Genomic DNA, 24,652 nt, shown 5'->3' on the forward strand with positions numbered 1-24,652 from the left:
CTTTCTAAAGATGTCATAATTTATTTATAAAAGACACAGATTACATCAGGGAAATAAGGCATCTAGCTCACGGTTGTCCTATTTTTATTTAATCATTCTCCATGGTAATATGGTATTTTCCCCAATTTGCATTGGATATGGATCTCAAGAGCAGAACGTAGACAAGTTTTAGGAAGAAGAATAAAGGCTTTGGATATTTGTTTTATTTCAGAGAGTCCAGAAAGAGATTCTTTAGAAGAAAGCAAAGAAGGATGGCATTTTTTTTTTTTTTTTTTTAGTGTCTAAAAACCCCATCAATGTTTTCTTTAATTTTATGGCTCCTCTTGCTTTTACACTAGAAAGATTCCCAGACTAACCACATGATGTGAATGGAATAACCTTTTCTCTCTTCGGCTGGGTGATGGTTTCTCAAAATAAATACAACCCATCTTATACTTTTTCTTTTCTGAATATGTCTTTCTTGAGCCATATCCATGAGTTGAAAAGACTTTCTCTGGGAATCCCAAATGCTGAGACAATGCCATCTTAGTTAGGAAAAGTAATGCCAAGAGCAATTCTACCTTAGACAACTTACTAAACTTTTTTATCTTTTCAATAAATATGGCTTTCATATGTTTACTCATAATGCAATAATTATTTCTAATAAGACAAACTTACAATTAGTTATTCACAATAATGACAATGAGTACCTATCACATAGCTATCATGGTACAACACACAATTAGGTATGAAACTGATATGACATGGTACCTGCATATAAAATCAGGTCATATGAGAAAAGTGATTAGCAGAATGTCTAACATATATGCACTAAAGTAAATGTTAATACTTTTATTATAATTCCAGTGATTTCAAAGTGATTAAAAATAAGAATAGCATAAAAATATACAGTCATGCTTTAACAATGAGAATATGTTCTGATAAATTTGTCATTAGGTGATTTCATCATTGTTCGAACATCATAGAGGGAACTTAAACAAACCTAGATGGTACAGCCTACTACACATCTAGACTATAGGGTATAGCCCATTGCTCCCAGGCAACAAATCTGTACAGCATGTTACTGTACTGAACACTATAACCAATTGTTACACAATGGGAAGTATTTATGTATTTAAACTTATCTAAACATAGAAGAGATACAACAAAAATAAAATATTATAATCTTAGGGGAACACCATCCTATGTGTAGTCTGTGAGTTGATGGAAAAGTTGTTATGCAGCACATGACTGTAATATATAGTAATATAATCCAGTTGTATAATATCGTCTAGTGCTCTCTAGTAAAAATATAATATGAGACATGTAATTTTTTTTTTTTTGAGATGGAGTCTTGCTCTATCACCCAGGCTGTAGTGCAGTAGCATGGTCTTGGCTCACTGCAATCTCTGCCTCCTGGGTTCAAGCTTCAGCCTCCCGAGTAGCTGGGACCACAGGCATGCGCCACCACACCTGGCGAATTTTTGTATTTTTAGTAGAGACGGGGTTTCACCATGTTGGCCAGGCTGGTCTCAAATGCCTGACCTCAAGTGATCCGCTCACCTCTGCCTCCCAAAGTACTGGGATTACAGGCATGAGGCACCGAGCCTGGCCCGAGACTTGTAATTTTAAATTTTCTTACAGTTATATATGAAAGTAAAAAGTAACAGATAAAACCAATTCTTATATATTTAATCCAATATATAATCATTTTAACATGTATACAATATAAAATTATTAATCAAAAAACCATTTTCATGCTAAGTCTTCAGATTCAGGTGTGCATTTTACATTTTCAGTTTTTCTCTATGTGGATGCTGAATTTTATTAGCAATAAAAATTGGTTTGTATTCTGATTTCATAAAATTTACAACTAAAAGAGGAGATTGAATTTACTCAAGTTGTTTCAAACAAATGTAAAAGTTTTCTGATAACTGAATCGAGTATCATTTATTAAATTTAAATTAATTAAATTAAATAACATAAAAGTTGAATTTAAAGCTAGCTTTGAAACTAAAGCAAGATGTAAATACCCACACACTTCATCCTCTTCCCCAGAGGTAGAAAATATATTTTATGTGAGATAGAGGGGAAAGATTCTCAGAATAGAGATATATTTTTTGCCTTATGCTTCATGTAATAGAAAAATGAACACAATTCTCACAACCATCAGGATTTCCGTGAGGATCTTTATCAGGGTTTCTAAGAATTTATACACATATATACATTTTTTCCTTTGGGAACTGGCCTGCAATATCCAACATTTAAGTCAGCCTGGAGCCCAAAATTAAAGCTGTGTTTGTTCTTATTTGTTCTCTTCCCCTTGCCTCTAGTATGATATGTCTGAATGGTGTAAAGCAAATAATAATATTTCATAGAATTTGATTAGGATTTATTATATATTCCTACTTTAATCCCAGCCCAATGATTAACATTTCAAAGATAGAGAAATTGTCATCATAAATTAATCTGGCTTTGGTGTCCACTGTATTTATCTAAGGAGAACAGATAAGTTTCAGAGAGAAATCCTGGAGCAGCTGGATGATATACACAATTCTAGCTTGGCTTTATTTGTGTTTGGTTTGGTTTAATTTTATTTGTTTATAAAGCACGGAGGAAAAATAAAATACTTGAAACCTCATTAGGAATGTTTCAAGGGCTCTGAATTATGAATAGAAATGAGAGCATCACAAAAATCTAATTCCAAATTTTTAAACTCTTTCTGGAATGATGCCATTCAAGTATGGGAATCATGTTGACAGTGTTTTTTTAACCCTTATTTTATGCCAGTCTGGCATAATACATGTCACAAAAGATGTGTTAAATTTATTATGTAAAACCAAAAAAAAAATGCGTGAATGAAAAAGTGAAGTCAAATATAAAGTGTAAGGTGACATACATATGATGGTCTGAACAATATATCAAAAAGCCTTTAATGTTTTATTGGTTTGGGGGGGATAGATAAAAGTACAATATTTAAATCAAATAATTATATAAGAAGCAGAAGCTGGCATATTTTTATGCTATCATTGTTAGTTATTTTTAGTTATTTGGTATTTAAGTACTATATAATAAATGGGGAAATGCCATTCTAAAAGCTATGTTGCTGGAATCTTGGAAGACTAAATCTACAACTCATAGATAAGAACTCCCATTAAAGGAACAGGAAATTATCAGGAATCACATCTTGTCACCAAGCAAGATGATAGAGTATGTTTAATAATACAAAAAGCCAAAAAAAAATCTGGTGGAAAGAAGGATCTTTATTGCAGAGAAATTATAAGGCATTTGCAAAGAGAAGTGATTTCTTATTCTCAAATACAAAAGTTTGAGATTAAAAACACACTGTCATCCCTCAAGATTCGTGGGATATTGATTCCAAGATCCTTCTTGGATACCAAAATCTGCTGATACTCAAGTCTCCTATATAATGTGATGTTGTATTTGCATATAACCTACTCACCTCTTCCCCTATACATTTTTTTCTTCTATAAACTTTAAATCATATCCAGATTACTTATAAAACCTAACACAATGCCTACACATAATTTCATTCCCTTGGATTCAGCATACAAATTAGTGGGCAGCAAATTTAAGTTTTGCTTTGTGAAACTTCAGATATTTTTTTTCCCAGATATTTTTGATCTATAGTTGGTTGAGTCCACAGGTGTGGAGCTCACGGATACAGAGGGCTAATTGTACATACAAAGAAAAACCAATTGGTATAAATAGATAATTCAATCTTTCTTATCCAATCGACTTTATATTTGTATGACATCTTACAGTTCTTTAATGAGATATATACACATATGTATACATATATGTATTTTTACACATACATACAATCACATTTCACTTTTACTAGTAAAAATCCTTAGCCAGGAGTGGCGTCTCACATGTGTAATCTCAGCACTTTGGGAGGCTGAGGCGGGTAGATTACTTGAAGTCAGGAGTTCCAGAGCAGCCTGGCCAACATGGTGAAACCCCATCTCTACTAAAAATACAAAAATTAGCTGGGTGTGGTGGCAGGACCTGTAACCCCAGCTACTCGGGAGGCTGAGGAAGGGGAATCCCTTGAACCTGGGAGGCGGAGGTTGCATTGAGCCAAGATTGGGCCACTGCACTCCAGCCTGGGTGACAGAGTGAGACTCCATCTAAAAAAAAATATATATATATATTTTTTACTTAACAATTCTGCATTTAAGATATGCAATTGTATTGGTAAAAAGAAATAAGTCATATTTTCGAAAGAAAATAAAAACTAGCCTAATAGCAGGTATCACAGATAAAAGAAATGGAGAAATAAGACACAAGCACCAGTCTTCCGTTTACAAATATATCTTTCAGGAAAAATGTACAATAAAATCTCCAGATATGTTTTGATGATGACAAAGCAGAAGACTCCAGTGAATGGATGCAGGCTACAAAAGGATGCTGCAGATTTGTGGGGATACTCAAAGGAGTAGCAAATTTAATATGAACAATTCAAGGGAGTAGCTTCAGGAATAGAAAGTCTAAAAGAAAGAATGTTGGTACAGCAATTAGGAGGAAGTAAGTGAACCGGAAAAACATAGTTCATTCCTCCAGAGAATGGGCTCATCTTTCCGTATACCACAGTATCAACATGAGATGGTCACAGTTCTAGTCACAGAAGTGGAATTTTCTGTCCATCTTTCTTTCTTTTCTTTTTCTTTTCTTTTTTTTTTTTTTTTTTTTTTTTTTTGAGACGGAGTTTTCCTCTTGTTGCCCAGGCTGGAGTGCAATGGCACAATCTTGGCTCACCGCAACCTCTGCCTCCCGGGTTCAAGTGTTGCTCTTGTCTCAGCCTCCTGAGTAGCTGGCATTACAAGCATGCACCACCATGCCCGGCTAATTTTGTATTTTTAGTAGAGACAGGTTTTCGCCATGTGGGCCAGGCAGGTCTCAAATGCCTGACCTCAAGTGATCTGCCCACCTGTTGGTCAGGCTGGTCTCAAAAACCAACCTCAGGTGATTCACCCACCTCAGCCTCCCAAAGTGCTGGGATTACAGGCTTGAGCCACCATGCCTGGCCTCTGTCAGTCTTTCTAATAATCCCTGTTTCTAACTATCTGTAAATATATCTATCTGTAGATGTGCTGTTAGCAACCTGGTTAAAAAGCAATTTAATACCAGTAATGCAAAATACAATGCCTTGATCAATTTAGAAGCAAAATCTTGTATCTATAAATATATTTTTCTGATATTTAGATAACAGAATTTCATGAAAATCTTAAGAATCAATTTTTTCAAGTACCTTATTATTTAAATATTATTTATTTATCCTAATGCTTTAGTGTCATTGATATTGTTTCACTTACCTATATATCTGCTAATTTATTGTTTTCTGATCTTGTAGTTATATATGAAATAACCAGGCTCAGTCCTGGATATACAACATAGGAGAAGTACCCTTCCTATTATTTCCTAACAGCCTAATTCATTTGACCAACTCCCTGCCTCATCTCCCTATCAATTTTCAGCAGTCTTTCAACTGGGAGTGCACCCTGTCCCTAACATGCCAGCCCACTCCACACTAGCTTTGGGTTTTATTCTCTCAAACACCCACTGCCTAGTAGGTGTAAACAATTTCAACCAATGAACAAAAGTTAATCAAATTATCTCTTCTATGGTCAGAGATCACAATGACAATCTATTTAAAGGTATGGAAACTTGATCAGCAAAGTAGGTTCTAGGAAATGAAGATTAAAAATAAACATGGAAAAAATGAATAAGTAAAAATTTGAATTTAAAATCACAAGTGTCAGAAACAGCTACTAAGTATCACTATTAATGATGATCATTAATTAACCCTCCCTGAGATCTGTGAGAATTCTCTGTCATCATATCTTGTTTTCCTTTTCACTTACAAAACAACTTATATTTTTTACTATTCATCTTAATATGACTTGTTTTAGTGTTCTGTTTTGAGCTTTCAGTGTGGACACTGATGGCACTCACAGTTTACTAAGCAGGAAATGGTTAACATCATCTAGTTCAAGGACTCTCATATTTGAGTTCTTCTAATAATCCAGATAAGATTTCTACTAACGTCCTTAGCTGAGAGTAAATACACATTTCTATAAGATACTTGTTTTTAAAAGGAAACAATGTTTATATAGTTAACTGGGTTACTGAAACACAAAAATGAGATAAAACGAAAAATTAGTTCAAACCTCCTTCCTTGGAGCACCCCCAGGTTTCTTTGCAGTTAGGGTAGACTCATGAGAAGATATAGTTATCTTCTCAGTACAATACATCTCACAGGAACTGTTAAAACAAGTAGCTCTTCTGAATATAGTTAGAAACTTTGAAAAAAATTAGTTAAATCAGTCGCGGTAACATCAGATAATGTCTCTAATTATATATGTGCGGTGTGTACATGTGTGTGTGCATGTATGTGTGTGTGTGTAGATTTTTTTTGTTGTGGGTAACAGTGCTATATAAACATTTATATTGCTTAGTATTTGAGAAACTTTCAGGTGATTTTAAGCTTTTAAACAGGTTAAGCTTTTAACTTAGTTAAATTTTTTTAGAACTTTAGAAACTTTTTAAAATAATATTTTATTTTTCTAACATTTACAATAAAATAAATGAACAGGAAACACAAAATGAAACCATTTGCACAATAAAAGGTATTAACAGGAAACACAAAATAACACCAAATCTTAAAATGTTATGTCAAAATTTAAAATGTCTTAATAAACAGTGATAATATTATTTTCTTAAAAATACAAAAGTAACACTTGGCCAGGCGTGGTGGCTCATGCCTGTAATCTCAGCACTTTGGGAGGCCAAGGCAGGTGGATCACCTGATGTCAGGAGTTCAAGACCAGCCTGGACAACATGGCGAAACCCTGCCTCCCCAAATAAATAAGTAAAAATACAAAAAGTTAGCCAGGCATGGTGGCACGTGCCTGTAATCTCAGCTACTTGGGAGGCTGAGACAGGATTGCTTGAACCCAGGAGGTTGCAGTGAGCCAAGATCGTGTCACTGCGTTCCAGCCTGGATGACAGAGCAAGACTCTGTCTCAAAAAATAAATAAACAGCAAAAAATGAAAACAAACAAACAAACAAAAACCAAAAGTAACACTTGCCTCAAACAATGATGATGGTCTCATTTATCATCACTGTAAGTGCTAACATCAAATTTTCAGTCACAGACTTTGTGATATTATAAATCGTAGGGAATATTTGCCATAATGGACTGAGAAAAATCAGAAAACAATGACATTAAAGAAGATACTGAGCTTTTATAGTAGACTTACAGTGCTTCCATTCACTTCCACCATGTCAGAGGCTATTGGACTTCTCAATTAAGATTCAGGGGCTACGATTAACATTAGCATCTAATAGTCTAACACTGTGATTCCAAAACTATGTGCAAGACACTCTGGAGTAATACAGTGAACTCATCAGGAATGCTGTAAGATATTTTAAAATTTCAAGATAAACACAACAATACTCACTATTTATCAGACACTGTATTAACCACTAGTCAAGCTATTTCTTAATTTTAACATTCAAGGGGGTTACATTCAAGGGGTCATAGCCATGTGAAGTTGGGTTCTTAGTAAAGCAAGTATCCCCAAAAGTCCTCATGGAACAGGTACTAAGGATCTCAGTGTTCAATCTGATTCCAAGGTTTGAGAAGTTGTACGGTGCCCAACACATACGCACTCACCATTAGTAAGTAATTCATATGTAATTTAAGAATATTTAAATTTAAAACATGTAAAACTTTTTTTTGTTTTAATTTATGTTGTCAGGACATAAATACTTATTTAGTTGTTTGGCCTTAACTGTAATAGTCAGAATTCTTGGTATTTGTTTGTTGGCCTAGAGGTGTGATGAAAAAAATTTTGAGCTGTTACGGTACTAAGAACTGAAAATCTTGGAAAGATATTTCTGTTCTAAATACTTTTCTAGAAATATATATATATATATATATATTATATATATATACACACACACATATATTTACAGGGATATATATATATACACACACACACATATATTTACAGGGATATATATATACACACACACATATATTTACAGGGATATATATATATACACACACACACACACATATATTTACAGGGATATATATATTATATATATAGAATATATATATATTCTGTAAATAGAATCACTTCCCAAATCAAACCTGAAACCTGAAGGAGAATTTGTGTATGCAATGTACTAATCAATTTACTGCTTACATCTTAATGTTCATTTTAACTCCTTTACTCTTCAGTATCTTCTAGCTTTTGCTACATTTATACCTAGAAGATTATAGTCATCGCAGCTTTTCTATATTTCAGTTCTCTGAGTTTATGTATAAAGTAATGAAGTAGGTAAGACCTGGCATAACAATGCCCTTATTGTGGTGCCACAATTAAGCCACACTGGAAAGGATCCAAAGATGACTTTCTTTACATTGAATTCCCTCTGTGGTGAATGGTGAATGGTGTTATTTTGTGTTTCCTGTTAATTCCTTTTATTGTAAATGTTAGACAAACAAAATAATATTTTAAAACAATGTTTCTAAAGTTCTAAAGCAATTTAACTCAGTTAAAAGCTTAACCTATTTAAAAGCTTAATATCACCTGAAAGTTTCTCAAATACTAAGCAATATAAATTTTAAACAGCACTGTTACCTACAATAAAAAAAATCCACACACACACACACACACACACACCGCACATATATAATTAGAGACGTTATCTGATATTACTGAGACTGAAAGTCTAGTAAAACTATGTAAAAAAAATTGCTGCAAAAACCCTATGTAAACCTGAATAGAGAAAGTGTTGTCAACCCAAGAAAATGGTCCATTTTCTCATTCCTTAATTTGGGCTTGTATAGTCTGTCCTCATTTCTTTTTTCATTCTTCACTTTGGAAATCTTCAAAATAAACCAGGTAAACATCTCCAAGTTTATACATGTATAGAAGATTTCTGGAAATTTTTCCCAACCCCAAATTAAAACAAAGCAAACAAAAACAGTGTGATACTCTTAAAAAACAGTAGCAGATTATTTTCAAAATCAGTTCCAGAAAGAATATAGTTCTTAATCAGAACTAGGGAGTTCTTAATCAGAACTAGGGATTAGACAATATATATTTCTATGCTGGTTAAAATAGAGCACCGTAGTTGATGTGTGTATGCATGTGTGTATGCGTGTGTGTGTGTGTGTGTGTGTGTGTGTGTGTGATCAAGGTATGCAATTCTCAGTATATTATAGTGTATTTAGTACTATTTCTTTCATATTCTCAAAGCATCTTGTACTGGTAGAGCTTTTTGTGGTAATATTTTCTGTTTAGTTCATCACATTGACCTGAAGTAGAACTTAAACTATTATATTAGAAGAAAATTTTAAATTCCTATTTTAAAATTCCAAATTTTAGACTGTCTGTAAAAAAAAGTTTTTTGACCTTACTTTGATAAAAATAATGAAAAAGTCCACAAAACTTTTTTGCAAAGAACATCTCTTACAATTGTATTATATACCTTGAGATGCTTTCTTTATTTTCTAATTATAGAATAGTTCATTATCTTATAGCTTCTTGACTGAATATATGAAAAAATTGTTTAAATTTCATAATCTTTGATTTCATAACCACTGTACAATTTTGTCTCCCTTTGATTTATTAACCATTTATCTCTTCCTTGTCTTGTTTTTATGTTTTATTTTATACCTATCTTTACTTGTAGGACAATATTTCTTTGTTCAGAGTGAGGGTTCTTTAATCTTTGGTTTTGATTATTTCAAGTACCTGTTAAACAAATTTTACGGTAATGTGTAAATAAGTAATGAATGAATTACCTCTTACTGATTGTTAGAATAAGCCAAAGATGCATGTAAAAGAATCACTGTGGGCCATAAGCAAATAAAAGAGGTATCAATATTTACAATTAAATTTGATCTCCGATCACCAAATTAAATTATATGGTAGTCAAAAGACATCATTGTTCTTGCCCTAAAATTAATAGTTTATAATCTGAGGACAACACTATGTCTGATTTGTGGAAGAAGACAAGTTAACTACGATGAAAGTGATCTCAGGCTAAGTGCCTAAAATGTTAATCACAATCTTATAGTAAAAGAAAAATGAGAGCTATTAATTATGCCTATCAAACAATGAAACAACACAACAATAACAGAATATGATGTTGATTTTTTGCATAGTAATAACTAAAAATAATAGAGCATTGCCAAGATTACATACAAGCAATGTGTCTTCAAACATAGATGAATAATCTCATCAAAATAATTTATATTGAAAGAGTATATTTTAGAAAACAAATAAAAACATGTATTAGGATTAGAAACTGATAAATTACTTGGTGCTTACATGGTGTATTTTGTTATTCTATACAACAAATAAAATAGTAGAAGGGACTACCATAATTGTTCATCTTTAGTTCTGGAGCTAAAGCAAAAGTAGTCACTGATGCAAGTCAAAGTCAAGTCTAGCAGCCTAAGGAACTGGGACACTGTGACATGTTCAAATCAAGCAATCACAAGAAAGCTATGCCTGCTAATTCTGAGAGAGGTAAATAACTATTTGCAGATGATTCCTAACCTAATGGCAATGTTATAATGTATATTCATCCCTTGATACACACCAAAGATTGGTTCCAGGAACTCTGCCATTCTCATATGCCAACGTGTGCAAAATTTCCCACAGTCCTCCCTGCAGAGCCCTACTATACAAAAAGACTGCCTTTGGTATAAGCAGGTTTTGCATCCTGAGAATACTGTATCTGTTTGTTTGAAAAAATAAACTCTAATATAAGTGAACCCACCCAGTTTAAACTCATGTTGTTAAAGGGTCAACTGTATATAACTAACAGGACTCAAAGAATTACAATTACTTTACGCTATTTTTGTTTCAAGAGTCATTAAGATGATACAGCAGAGACCCAATCATTATTTGAATTCCAACATCTTGGAGTGATCATGTCTAGAAATAACATTGTATGTAGTATGGACATAGATTATCCAAAGTTTGCCTTAACAAACTGTCATGTAGAGTGCTTCCTCTCCAATCACATCAGCCCAAGGACAGTGCATTAGAATTATTCAGAGAAACAGAACAAGTAGGAGAAATGCATCTATCTATCTATCTATCTATCTATCTATCTATCTATCTATCTATTGAGGTTTATTTAAGAGATTGGCTCACATAATTATTGAGGCTGATGAGTCCCAAGATCTGCAGTTGGTAAGGTGAAGATCCAGGAGAACCAACAGTGTATGTTCAAAAGCCTGGCAACCAGGACAGCAGATGTTACAGTTCTAGTCCAAGTGTAAAGACCTGAAAAACAGGAGAGATAATACTGTAGTTCCAGTCCAAACACCTTCAGGTTCCAGGACCAGGAAAGTCAGATGTTTCAGTTCAAGTCCAAAGGCAGAAAAATAAATATCCCAGCTCAAGACAGCCAGGCAAGAGGAAATTCCCTCCCACTTGTGGGAATGTCAAGCTTTTTGTTCTATTAGGTCTTCAACTGATTGGATGAGACCCACCAACATGACAGACGGCAATCTGCTTTACTCAGTCTACCAATTCACATGTTGATCTTATCCAAAAATGCCATCTCAGACAAATCCAGAATATTTGCCCAAATGTCTGGGCACCCCATGGCCCAGTCAAGTGGACACATAAAATCAACCATTACAGAAACCCTTATCTGCTCCTTACTGCTTACAGTGCCTTACTGCTTGCTTCTGCTTGCCTAACCTCCAAGCCATCATATTTCCTGTGCCTGCTAAACTAAGGAATGTTCAGACACTACAGAGAATTCCCAAGTTCCAAACTCTCCCCAAGCCCAGTTTTCTCAGGGCTGGCTAGGACATACATTTGTCAAAGCTCAGTTATTAATAACTCTTAGTGGTTGACAACATTTACCTTTCAATAGAAATCTTATTTTATTTTTTAGAAAGATGGAACAAACATGGATGTTCCCATGGAAGGGAGCCTCAGGGAAATGGGCAGCGAATCATACTCTTGGTATCCCATCAAGCCTCATGCAAATCCTACCATGTTGTGGGGCGGGGGTTGGGGGATGTCTGTTACTTTCTCTTTCTCTGTACCAAGGCTGACCAGACATTTACTTATTAACACCTTGGAAATGAACATGTATGAAATGCACTTGCACAGTTTGTGACTTTTATTGCAAATGAAGTAATGGTCAGGATGGCAGTGATTTGAAATACAGTAGAACAGATTGTCTCCTTGTTTATAGGAAACTAGAAGTGCAGTATAAAGTGCACTTTGTAAACGTACCAGAGAGAACCATAAAACTGAGTAAGTGCATTGACTAAAATACAACACAAGGTGATAAGTCTAGGTTGGCCCTAAATAATAGACAACCATAAAAGATAATTAGGTTTGAACACATAATCTAAAGAGAAAAGAGTAAAACCTTTTTACAAAAAATATGCATAAGTCTGAAAAGAATTTAGCTAAGCTCAGATGTCATTATTTTTAAAGGTATTCATTTAAAGATAAAGCATAACTTGTCTTTCTATATATAAAGAATTGTGTCATGTTATTACTGTCATCTCCACAGTTTTTCAAATTGATTGCTTTAAAAATAATGTAATCATCTTGCATTGCAAAGTTTTTTCAAACATCTTATTATAAAAAATTCACACATGCAGAAAAGTTGAAGTATACAGAAAGCATCTGTACACCCACACCTAGATTCTACACTTTTTTTTTTGACATTTGCTTTATTATCACACTATGCATTCCTGCCAGTCCATCTGACTTAAAAAAAGTTTTTCAAAGCAGGACAATGATATCCATATACGTTACCCCTAAACACTCTACCAGAATAAAAATTTTGTATTTTCTCTTGTAAGTTAAATATATATATTGCTAAGAGATAAAAATATATAACTAAATAGATGTCTTACTGTGCACTACATCTCTTGGATGCTAGTTACTTATCCATTAGAGTTTAGTGTTTATGAGGCTATCATCTTAGTTTTAATCTCCCTGATGGGTTCATTAGTTATTTTGTTTTCCACAGGTACATATTAAACCCCTTATAACATTTAGTCATACTGAAACTTAATGTATTTCCAACAGGGGTGTAACATGCAAAAGTACACAAATCTTAAATAGTAGACAAATCAGGGAACAGGCCCAATAGGTGGTGTTAATTAAAGACATTTTGCAAATGATTCACTTATACATTTAGGTACTATAAAACAGCTTATTTACCTTTTAGAGATGTCATACATACATATATTCATGTTTTATTTTAGTTATATATTTATTTCTAATGAGGGTTAGCTCTTCAACAGAATGCAAATTATAAAACATTTAATATTGCCAGAGATAATATTTGCATTTATCATAGAGCAACAAGTAATGAGCCCTTGATATCTCATGAAGTTGTGGCACCTCAGTCAACAACAATTAAATGCCGAGCTCTTGAAAATATGAATGAACAATATGACTTATGTCACACTTACACAATTCCCTTTATTTTAGCTGATGTGCTTTTAATTCCAAATGTGCACTGGCCTATCCAATTATTAATTATTTTCATTTTTCTTCTGATAATTGTTAGTTTTATCACCTATTTGTTACATATATACATATTAGCTTAGAAATGTAGACAAAATAATGTTTTAATTTATCTTGCATTATGCTGCAATATAAGTGATTTTTTTTTTTTTTTTTTTGAGATGGAGTCTCGCTCTGTCACCCAGGCTAGGGTGCAGTGGCAAGATCTCGGCTCACTGCAACCTCCACCTCCTGGGTTCAAGTGATTCTCTGGCCTCAGCCTCCTGAGTAGCTGGGACTACAAGCGCGTGCCACCACACCTGGCTAACTTTTGTATTTTCAGTAGAGATGGGGTTTCACCACATTGGCTAGGATGGTCTCTATCTCCTGAACTCATGATCCACCCCTTCGGCCTTCCAAAGTGCTGGGATTACAGGCGTGAGCCACCACACCTGGCCACAAGTGATTCTTAAGATAATAAAGCAATCTCCAACTTCAATGTATTGCCTAGAATTCTAGAGCTTGATTCTTCCAACTTAAAGGAATAATCGAATTTTCCAGAGTATAAAGTTATAAAAATCACATTTCAGAAAAATAATATCGCTTTAAGACCTATGGTCTTAACTACATTTTAATTTGGTATTGAAAAATTTTAAGAATTTATCCTAATTTATGAGCAAATTTCATCTCCTTATGAGTTGCTTACATTTTCCACCCAAGTCATCATCAATAGGCCATTTATATTCATGAAATACAGAGGACACACAAAGAAAGAGAGCTGACACAGATTAAAAAGTAATCTTTTAAACAGGCTCTTTATGAAGTAAATCAACCTGTTTACCAAAAACACCACAAAATACCATTAGCATAACAGACAGTAAGAAGAAAATAGTTATATCATGCAAATATCTTATAGCCCACAGACAGTTTATGGAAATCCCCACAAGAAAAATAAAACAAAAAGTAATGGTTCTAAACATGCTTTGTTTGGAATAATGATGCCATTAACACTTGGCACTACAGTGCCCAAATGGAAGTGTGTTTGCATAATGGTTTACTCTACTCTTTATAAAGATAAACACAGAAGGTCACTGTGCAGAGTCTGACGTGCTTCAGGAATAAATGGCACTTTGAAATACAGAATGTCTCACTGTTTCTGGCACAGCCTACCTTTTTAGTCTGTTTAAAAAAAAATAGACCTAGGGTTTTATTCTATTTCTTGTTTTTGTAATAATAAAATTTCATCCTTATTTGCTTAGATGGATAAAGAAAGTCAATACTAAAAATGTGGCAGTTAATAAATAAATTATGTTAACAATATCAAATATGGTAACAGTTTTGATATCAATGTTAAAATATTAGCATAGTATAATAAAAATAACATGTATGAAAGATTCTGGTTATATTCAAAATATTAACCAAAAGATTTTTGTTTCTCCAAGTGAGACTAAATTCCTGGAAAGATGCTTTTATAAGTTGACAATTTGGTATGCTTAACCAGCTCCCCATTGTACATTTTATGTGTCTTTTCTTCACAGTTTGACCCTTGCCTACACTTTATGTATACTGTCTAAAATGTGCTCCCTATAATACTCTGATGTCTGAGCTTTTCGCACCATGTCCCAATATGATCTCATATTTCTCTTGTTACTTGTATTTTGCAAGGCTTATAAGTAAATAAATTGCATCAGTTTATGCCGTACATACATCAACATTGTTTGGGGAGAACAAAGCAAAACAAAACAAGCCAACAAAGGCTCTGCTGGGCAGAGGTGTAGCTCTTCTCCTCAACAACACCCAACAGTCTTCACGTTTTCACTTCAGTCGCCCAAAGCACATGGATTAGTATCATTATTGCAGGAATTCAGGGACCCTGAACGTAGGGACCGGCTGAAGTCATGGCAGAAGAACATAAATTGTGAAGATTTCATGGACATTTATTAGTTCCCCAAATTAATACTTTTATAATTTCTTACGCTTGTCTTTACTGCAGTCTCTGAACATAAATTGTGAAGATTTCATGGACATTTATCACTTCCCCAATCAATACCCTTGTGATTTCCTATGCCTATCTTTACTTTAATCTCTTAATCCTATCATCTTCGCAAGCTGAGGAGGATGTATGTCACCTCAGGACCGTGTGATTATTGCGTTAACTGCACAAATTGTTTGTAAAGCATGTGTGTTTGAACAATATGAAATCTGGGCACCTTGAAAAAAGAACAGGATAACAGCAGTGTTCAGGGAACAAGAGAGATAACCTTAAACTCTGACTGCCAGTGATCTGGGCAGAACAGAGCCATATTTCTCTTCTTTCAAAAGCAAATAGGAGAAATATTGCTGAATTCTTTTTCTCAGCAAGGAACATCCCTGAGAAAGAGAATGCATCCCTGAGGGGAGGCCTCGAAAATGGCCGCTTTGGGGACGGCTGTCTTTTATGATCATAGCTGTGGAATGAAATAAGCCCCGGTCTCCTGTAGCGCTCCTAGGCTTATTAGGACGAGGAAATTCCTGCCTAATAAATTTTGGTCAGACCGATTGTCTGCTCTCAAACTCTAGTTCCTGATAAGATGTTATCAATGACAATGCCTGCCTGAAACTTCATTAGCAATTTTAATTTTGCCCTGGTCCTGTGGTCCTGTGATCTCACCCTGACTCTGTTTACCTTGTGATATCTTATTACCTTGTGACACATGTGATCTCTGTGACTCACACCCTATTCGTACAATCCCTCCCCTTTTGAAAATCACTAATAAAAACTTGCTGGTTTTGCGGCTTGCGGGGCATCACGGAACCTGCCCACATGTGATGTCTCCTCTGGACACTCAGCTTTAAAATTTCTGTCTTTTGTACTCTGTCCCTTTATTTCTCAGACCAGCCAACACTTAGGGAAAATAGAAAAGAACATACATGAAATATCAGAGGTGAATTTCACCTGATATATCATCAGAATTTTTTCTGTTTCACTAAGATCAGAAACTCAGAATTTCTGGCCCTTTCCACAAATTCCTCATTGTGACTTATTTCTCCCCTTCTCACTGACTGTGTCTATTGTGTCTAACTGCTTTGTTACCCACATCACTCTCTTTACCATCACCTCAGCTACTGGTGGGACCCAACACCTTTAGTTCCTCAACCCCTTTCGTCTGTTTTTTCCTCATACTTATCTTAGACCCTGATATTCTCTTATTTTGACAATGACTGGCTGCACTTTCAGCTAAAAATTTGTAACCTAGTATAAACACATAAATCAACTGTCAGTAAGGGTAGAGGAGGGTGTTAAATTGCAGTTTCCAGGCCATCATCTTCAAATTTTTCATTGCAGCAAGTCAAAGAGGGGTGATAAGGAATCTGGATTAATCATGAAAACACTCCAGGTGGTAGGACAGAATCTACCCCTTTTTAACAGTCATTGACTTTAAAATTGGTTCCCAAATCTAAAGTGCCAGACTCAAATTTTCCTCTAACTCTAGTCCTCATCTGTCTTTATTACCTAATTCATGAACCATTACATTATTTTCCATCTTCTGTCACTTCCATCCTCTGGTCATATACAAACCACATGTGTACTCTGAAGGTGTTTTGATGCAATTGATTTGGTAGGCAATGGGGAGCCATGTGTTGTTTTATAAACAAGAAAGACAAACTTTTCAAGTGGTCAAGGTTCTTCTCAATATTATCCAAAAATTTATTATGGCTTTATCTCTAACTAGGCTTCTAATTTGTGAATAAAATGATGTCTTATTCTCACTTAATCATCGTAGTGCTGAACTCCACTCCAGTTATGGGTGAGAACACAGTGACAGAATGTAAATGATTTGATGTAGCTGCAGAGCTATTCACTTTGACAGCAGGCTATCTAATACCAGTGCATACTCTTTCCTTCACACTGTCCTGCAGATAGTAGGATTTCAGTAACCATTATATGACTGGAGGAAGGAAGCAAGAAAGATAGGAAAGAAGGAAGTGAAGGAAGAGAGAATGACCAACTAGTGTTCAAGAAACACAAGCCATAAGTTCTACGGTAACTACTCCAGAGGTATCATATCTACCACATCTCTCCATGAACTATATCATTTGTGGATTAAAAACTGAACTGTTATTTTATTGAACTGCAAACAGTAATACTGAAAATAATATATATCTCAATTCCACTTTGATAAAATTGAGTTTTCAAGCCTAACAGGATAATGTCAAGCTACTTATTGATCTGATAGAAAACAAAAAGGTAAGGCATTATATAAATACAAGTAAATACGTGTTTTTTTTACCATTGAAGTGTGAACGAAATTGATATGGTTAAGAGATGGATGAACATGCAGTCAGAATGACAGAGATTACTATCAACCCAGCATGAAAGTATAGGACTGGGAAGATAATGGGTCTGATGAAATATAGAAAAAAAAATAAGGAAGTCAATAAACACATGAATAAGATCTGAGTCAGGCAGAATGAGTAAAATAAATACTATAAAGAACAAGAGAGACAGAGTCATAGTGAAAGAGAGAGAGAAATTGAAACTGAGATTTCCACGATGGAAAAAGAATTAGCCAGAAGGCAGCTTAGGCAAATGGGGGCGATGCGGTTTGCCTGACTCTCTGCCTGTAGAAACACGCATCATCATTCTAATGAGAACCTTGGGGAACAAGAAAACATCATAGCAGCACAGGAGGTAATGGGACCCTCCTAAACAGGACTGGTGGGACTGCACCTGGTGTTCAGACCCAGGCTTCTCATTATCCAAAAGGTGCAGGGAAGCTGGAAGGAGTTCAGAGACATGATGGAAAAATGATTAAGATACAAAGAAAGATGATTTCTGATGGAAGATTAAAGCACTAAAGAAGCTCAACTTGGATGAGCAACAAGTTGATAGACAAAGTACCTCTCTGCAAACCAGTAAAAGATATCAAAACTCTGGGGGAAGAAAGTATTATTTAATTTTTTACTAGGAGAAGAGGTTTATGAAGAATAATTGCAATGAAGCAGAAAAGAAGTCAACCCTAAAATTAGGAAGTGAAGTATAAAAATGCAAGCAATGACTACTTGCACGTATGGAGGAGGGGAATGGATAACATCAGTCGGACAATGTAAATAAAATACAGGCAACTTGACCACACAGAGGGTGACCATGATTCTGGAAGACAACACAATCAACATAAAATAAGGAAATATCAGAAAATTAATAATAATTCAAACTCAATTTCCAAAGGGACTAAAAATTTTAGCTTTATCTTCCATGTTTTGTTGTTACACTAGTCTTCACCTGAAATAGTAAATTAATTCAGCAGTTTCCAGAAGGGAACTAAATAAAATCAAATAATTGGTCCTTTTAACATGGCTTACAGTGATTCTTTGTGTTGGTTTGCAAATTAATATTTTAAAATATTAAAATGTGAATGAATCACTCACATAATTAGCAATAGGGGTAAATATAAAATATATAAATAACATATAGATAGATACAGAAATAAATCATAAATATTTTATAATGTTTTAATCATAAAATTGTTCCTCCCTCCCCTGCTGTAACTTTGCAGGGTATGAAAAACCCAGGCACCCATGGCCTCTGGAGGGGCAAAGAAGACAGGGCTGGAACTGAGGATGGTTGCGGGTGGAGTAGGCGGGGAGAGTTGCAAGAAGCAGGAAGAGAGGAAAACAACTACCATTCACGTAGGAGTGAGATGGCTCTTCACAGAAGGAAGCAAACAATTCTTAGGTGGGACTTACTTAACCATATGTTGCATGTACATATAGGCCAATCTGTGTTTTTTTCTATGAATCACTCTGTAATACCCATTATAGGAAGAAACTGAACTACCCACACAGGTATTATTTTTGGATTATGATATTTGAGTTAGCAAAACAGGTATGTCATCCACTATCTTACAACTTAAATATTCACAGTGCCGCATACAAATATATTTTTATTAAAACTCAAAGTGAAGATTTCTGCATTTTAAGAAACATCTGATGCACAATAGAAAACTCTGAAGAAATGAAATTCTCACTCTAGTCAGACTGTCCATTTGTTTTCATTTTATGTGTTTGCTTGTCTGATAAACACTCATCTCTGTGCTTTGAGAGTCAATATAATAATAATCTGTACCTGTTTCGTAGCTGTTCCCAATTTGTAAAACGTGTTTTTTTTTTTAATCTCATCTTAATTTCAGCTTTGGAGTTAGATATTCCTCATCCTCTGTTTCACAAGTAACAAAGCAAGAATCAGAGGGGTTTCTGAGCAGCCAAAGTCAAGTAGAAAGAAGGGCTAACAACAGCAAAGACCTGCATCCTCCAACTGCCCAACAAGTGATCCTTCCACTGCACTGTATGTCCTGCGCAATTCATGTACTAAGTCACAGCATCAGTAAACACAGAGTTAACAAAACAGTGATTATTGCATAAAACCACACCCTTATCATAAGTTTGTTGGGAATCATTAAAAGTGAAATTATTGTGAAAGAAAAATGAAAGAAGCAGGTGACGTAGATCAGGTAAAAATTAATAATAACAAAAGTTATTAGCTTAAGTTTCCAGAATGCATAGCCATTTGTTTTCATTGAATGACCTTTGTTTTCTAAGAATGACATGTCATAGTTGATTAAAATGCAACTCATGCCACAGTGAAAAAAAGCCAGAAATTTCAGGTAGGTTTCAGCATTTAGAACAAAAGGACACTCTAAAGATGCAGTGGAGTGGAGCAGTAAGTGGAAGGAAGAACAATATGGGAAACGTGTACTGGGAGGGTGAGGAAAACCTGAGGAAGAACGTGGAAAAAGACTGGAAGCTCTGTCAAGTTTCCAGAAACTGAAAACAAGCATATGCACAAAAAGAAACTTGACAACGTCTTCCTAAATGCACCAAGGAGCAATCTGCAGAACAGAAGGTTCCAGTAGCTGAGAGGAAATACACTTAGCAGAGGCAAACATCATCTTGGAACTGACTGAAAGGAAAATAACATTTAAAATGTTCAGACTCCTTGGAAGACAGAAGTAAAGGAACTGAGTCAGCGACTGAATGTCATAAGGCAGAGGTTTAGAGGCCGAGGACATCCAAGGAGGTGAGCTAACGAGAAGGAAAGACAAGGATGTGAAGTAAGAATATAAAAGAAGTATATACATATCCAAAATATACAGTAAGATTAGAAAGTAAAACAGAATACAAAGAAAAGAAAAAAAAAGGCACTTGGAAAGTGGCCTCTCCATGAAAGTGAGCCAATGCTTGTGCAGCAGTGAAGAACTTAAACTCTAAAATCAAACTGCCTGGTTCCACATTCTATCTTGACAGCTTAGTAGGAGGAAATTGGGGCAAGTTATTTAATCACTCTATACCTCAGTTTCTTCACTTGAAAAAGGAGAAAGTAATATCACCCACCACACAATAAATCAAGAGAATTCAGTAAGAAAATTGTTATAAAGCAAAGAATACAGTGCTTGTCACCAGAGTGAACAGTAAAACATAATCTTAATTTCCAAAGTCTTGAAAGATTTATAATACTTCAAAGATCAGAAATGGAATCTGGAAAAAAAAAGGCTATAAAAATGATCAGCATGATGGAAAAATAAGAAAAAAAGAATCAACTCTCCAACAGAAAGGATAACAGGACAGTAGGAAATAACTAGGTAATTTAAAGATGAATTTTTTAAAGTAATGAATAAAGTGAAAGATGTTACTTAAAATTTATCTGATCCAAGACAATTTACTATGAAAAATGTAAATTCATGGAAAATGGGCAAAGAAGCCCCTTATTTCTGAAAGACCCAATTCAGAAATCCAGCTTTAATCATTTAAAGTGGCTCACTTATTCTCATTCCCAGAATTGCTTTCAACCAGCCAAATGTTTCAATCCTGATTCAAGTAAATAACCAAGCATTTCGTATCTGAATGCTTTTCAGAAACAGTAAGGAAAGGTAATTTTTGCCAATCTTTCAAATATAACTTGAACTGAGTAAAGTTACAGACTCCCATTCTAACAAGAAAAGCTTCAATTTTCATGTTATAAATTTTTATTTTGTAAATGGAAACATCAATAATAAGTAATAATCACCAATCTTTTTTGAATGTTTACTATGAAATAAACTCTACACATCTTATTTCAGACTCTTTTGGAAAACTTTTCAAAATGCTAATTAGTTTGCAATAAAGTTGATGCTCAGAGAAGTGTAGTGAGTGCTTCAGGTCTTACAGTCAGTCAGTAGCAGAGCATGGATTTGAATAAAGGTCTATTTGAGCAAAAGTATGTCCTTTTCATAACGTTGCTACATGGGAGCCTTCACTGAATAATAACTTGAACTAAGTCACTACATAATATCACTGTATAATGATACCACCTATCACGGATTTAAACTAGTTATTTAAACTAGTTGTTATTGTTTGTTTTAACCCAAACCTATCTCTATCTGTATGTATCTATACATATACTTATTTATCTAAACTCCTATGAACTTGATAACAAAATTTCTTAAAATCTAAGCAGATAGAGAGCATTTTTGAGCTGCAAATCTTTAAAAAATATTTTTTTGGAAAGGAAAATTAGATTCCCTTAGTCATTATAAGTTCTCATAGTCTGAGCATCTCCGCAAGCTGCATTTGATTTTCATGCTTAAAGATGCATGGATTTCTTCATACAACACAGCCTCTAAAGACAAGCCAATTACTTCATCTGGTGCTGAAGTGAAGAAAGTGACTTGACACAGGAGGAAAACTTTCAGTGTTGTAGTTTATTGAAAGACTGAATGTCAGCCACTTTTGTGGCACACAAATTTTGTATAATACATTTTATATATTACATTAGGATTTGTCTGGATAATGTTGACAGTAGGAAATTTCAACTTTAAATATTGATTTTAGAACTTAGAACCTGTATAAAACTCAACTCCATTGTATTTGTAGCTGGTAAATAAAATGTGGCCTTTTATTCAAGGAAACAACAGGCACTTAGAGATATAAAACATGTATACAAAGAGCTGTAATTTAGGCAGAATGAAAGTGCTATACAAGAAATATAGAAGATGTCATTTAGCGTTAGGTATATCTCCTAATGCTATCCCTCCCCCTTCCCCCCACCCCACAACAGTCCCCAGTGTGTGATGTTCCCCTTCCTGTGTCCCTGTGTTCTCATTGTTCAATTCCCACCTATGAGTGAGAACATGCAGTGTTTGGTTTTTTGTCCTTGCGATAGACGAGTTAATGGGTGCAGCACACCAACATGGCACATGTATACATGTGTAACGAACCTGCACGTTGTGCACATGTACCCTAAAACTTAAAGTATAATAATAATAATAAAACTTTTTTATGTAAATTAAAAAAAGAAATATAGAAGATGAATTAAATGGTAAAAAAAAAAACTTCTAGAGTGAGATGGATAGGAGATGTAGTAGAATCAAAGAAAATTTCACAGTAGAGAAATCATTTAAACGAGAGTTTGTGAATAGATAATGTTTCAATAGACACATAAGATACGACGTGAGAAAGACGTGATGTAATAGTTTCATGTGACTAAGATAAACACGGGCTAAACTGCAAAGTTAGATTACAACCCAATCATGACAAGGGTATTGTGTTTACACTGGATTCTGCCATCACTTGTAGTAGGGAGTGAATGACACCAGAGGTGTCCAAACAGGCCAGTCACTTTATTTGAGTTTACCTTATCAGGAGAAAATCATGCTTCACCCACAATAGTTTCATCACCTGTGATTTTTCAATATCTGAGTACATATGCATACCATCTTTTAAAAAGTTCACAATATATTTCTTTAAAACCAATTCAGGTAATTCCCTTTAAACTAAGAAGGACATCAGTTATTCCTGACAATTATTCTCATATAAAATAGGAGCAAGTATGTGGCATAAGTCTCCTTTTATGGAGAAAATATGTGGTAGAGAAAGCAATCACGCATCTCAAACACTACAAAGTATTTCCAAAGGTCAGCCTTTTACAGAAATATTCAGAGAAGATGCTAAAAACAAGAGGCAAGGGAAAATGCAGATGGGTTCATATACCTTAAAAGGACATATATTATTCCTAACAAAATTATATAAATATGTACCTGAGTATATAATGCGCTTCATCAATTTTTTAATCAGTAGAGGAAGGTGCCAAGAATACGGTTAATGGCATAAACAGGTTTAATAATCATGAGAATCTAATTTGCTTGGAATGATACTGTTCTTACTTTATTTACTACTATATTTCATATACCTACACACATATACACATTCAAACATGCTATATATATACACGTCATACTTAATGTTGTTAGTTTTGCTTAAATTATGTATTTTTCTACACGATGTTGATCTTACCAAATAAAGTTTTACTAACAATGATAAAGGTTCTTAAATACAATATCCTAACTTGGTTAGGGCTTATGATAAAATGAGAAGAAAAATATGAGTTAGAAAACTAATAAAATAGTTCAGGCAAAAGAACATGAAAGTTTGAATCATGGTGTTGGCAGTGACGATGGAAAGGAGGCAAGTTTTAAGAAAACTTGCTGAAGTGATTGGAAAAAAAGAGCAAAGGAAAGTGATAATAATAGTAGCTAACATTTATGAGGTATTACTAAGGACCAGACATTATTCTAAGTTGTGAACACATATTAACTCAATCCACACAGTAATTTATTAAATACTCTTAACACTTCATTTGCAGATGTTGAATCTAAGGCATAGAGAGATAAAGCAAATTGCCCAAGGCTACAAGCTTGTTAGTGACAGAATTGGGATGGGAACCCAGGTGGGACTAGGTTCACAGGACCTTCTCTGTATTGCATTAGAGATGACTGATGTGTAAAGTTCAAATTACTAGCCGTATGGTGCTGATAAAAATAAAGAAAAGAGGTTCAGTGAGTCGGTAAGGGAAAAAATAAAAAATGAAAGCCCCGTTTTATTTTTGACATTTTATATCTGAAGGGCTGGAAGAACTTTAAAGTGGATAAGAAAACATGAGTTAGAGGTTTTGTACAAAGGTGATAATGGATTATAGCCAAAGCAACTGATCAGAACTATTATCTAAGTGATGGTGTACAGTGAATGTGAATGTAAATTACCAAATTAAACAAACTTTAATTGAAAAAATGTCCTGAAATCAATACAAACGTATTGGCCTTAGAGAAATATCCAT

General features: G+C 34.4%; 1 protein-coding gene across 5 annotated transcripts in view; it reads right to left on the reverse strand.

The window, feature by feature from the left end:
- SEMA3D (semaphorin 3D) overlaps positions 1-24,652 on the reverse strand; it is a 254,691-nt gene that overhangs the window by 146,865 nt on the left and 83,174 nt on the right. For 3 of the 5 annotated variants that reach the window (NM_001384903.1, NM_001384902.1, NM_001384900.1), the window contains one exon: positions 11,191-11,322. The exons of the other annotated variants lie outside the window; for them this stretch is intronic. The gene's annotated coding sequence lies outside the window, so the exon portion shown is untranslated. The remainder of the gene's footprint in view (positions 1-11,190; positions 11,323-24,652) is intronic. 5 annotated transcript variants of the gene reach the window in all.

This window comes from Homo sapiens, chromosome 7, assembly GCF_000001405.40.
Source record: "Homo sapiens chromosome 7, GRCh38.p14 Primary Assembly".
Taxonomy (NCBI): domain Eukaryota; kingdom Metazoa; phylum Chordata; class Mammalia; order Primates; family Hominidae; genus Homo; species Homo sapiens.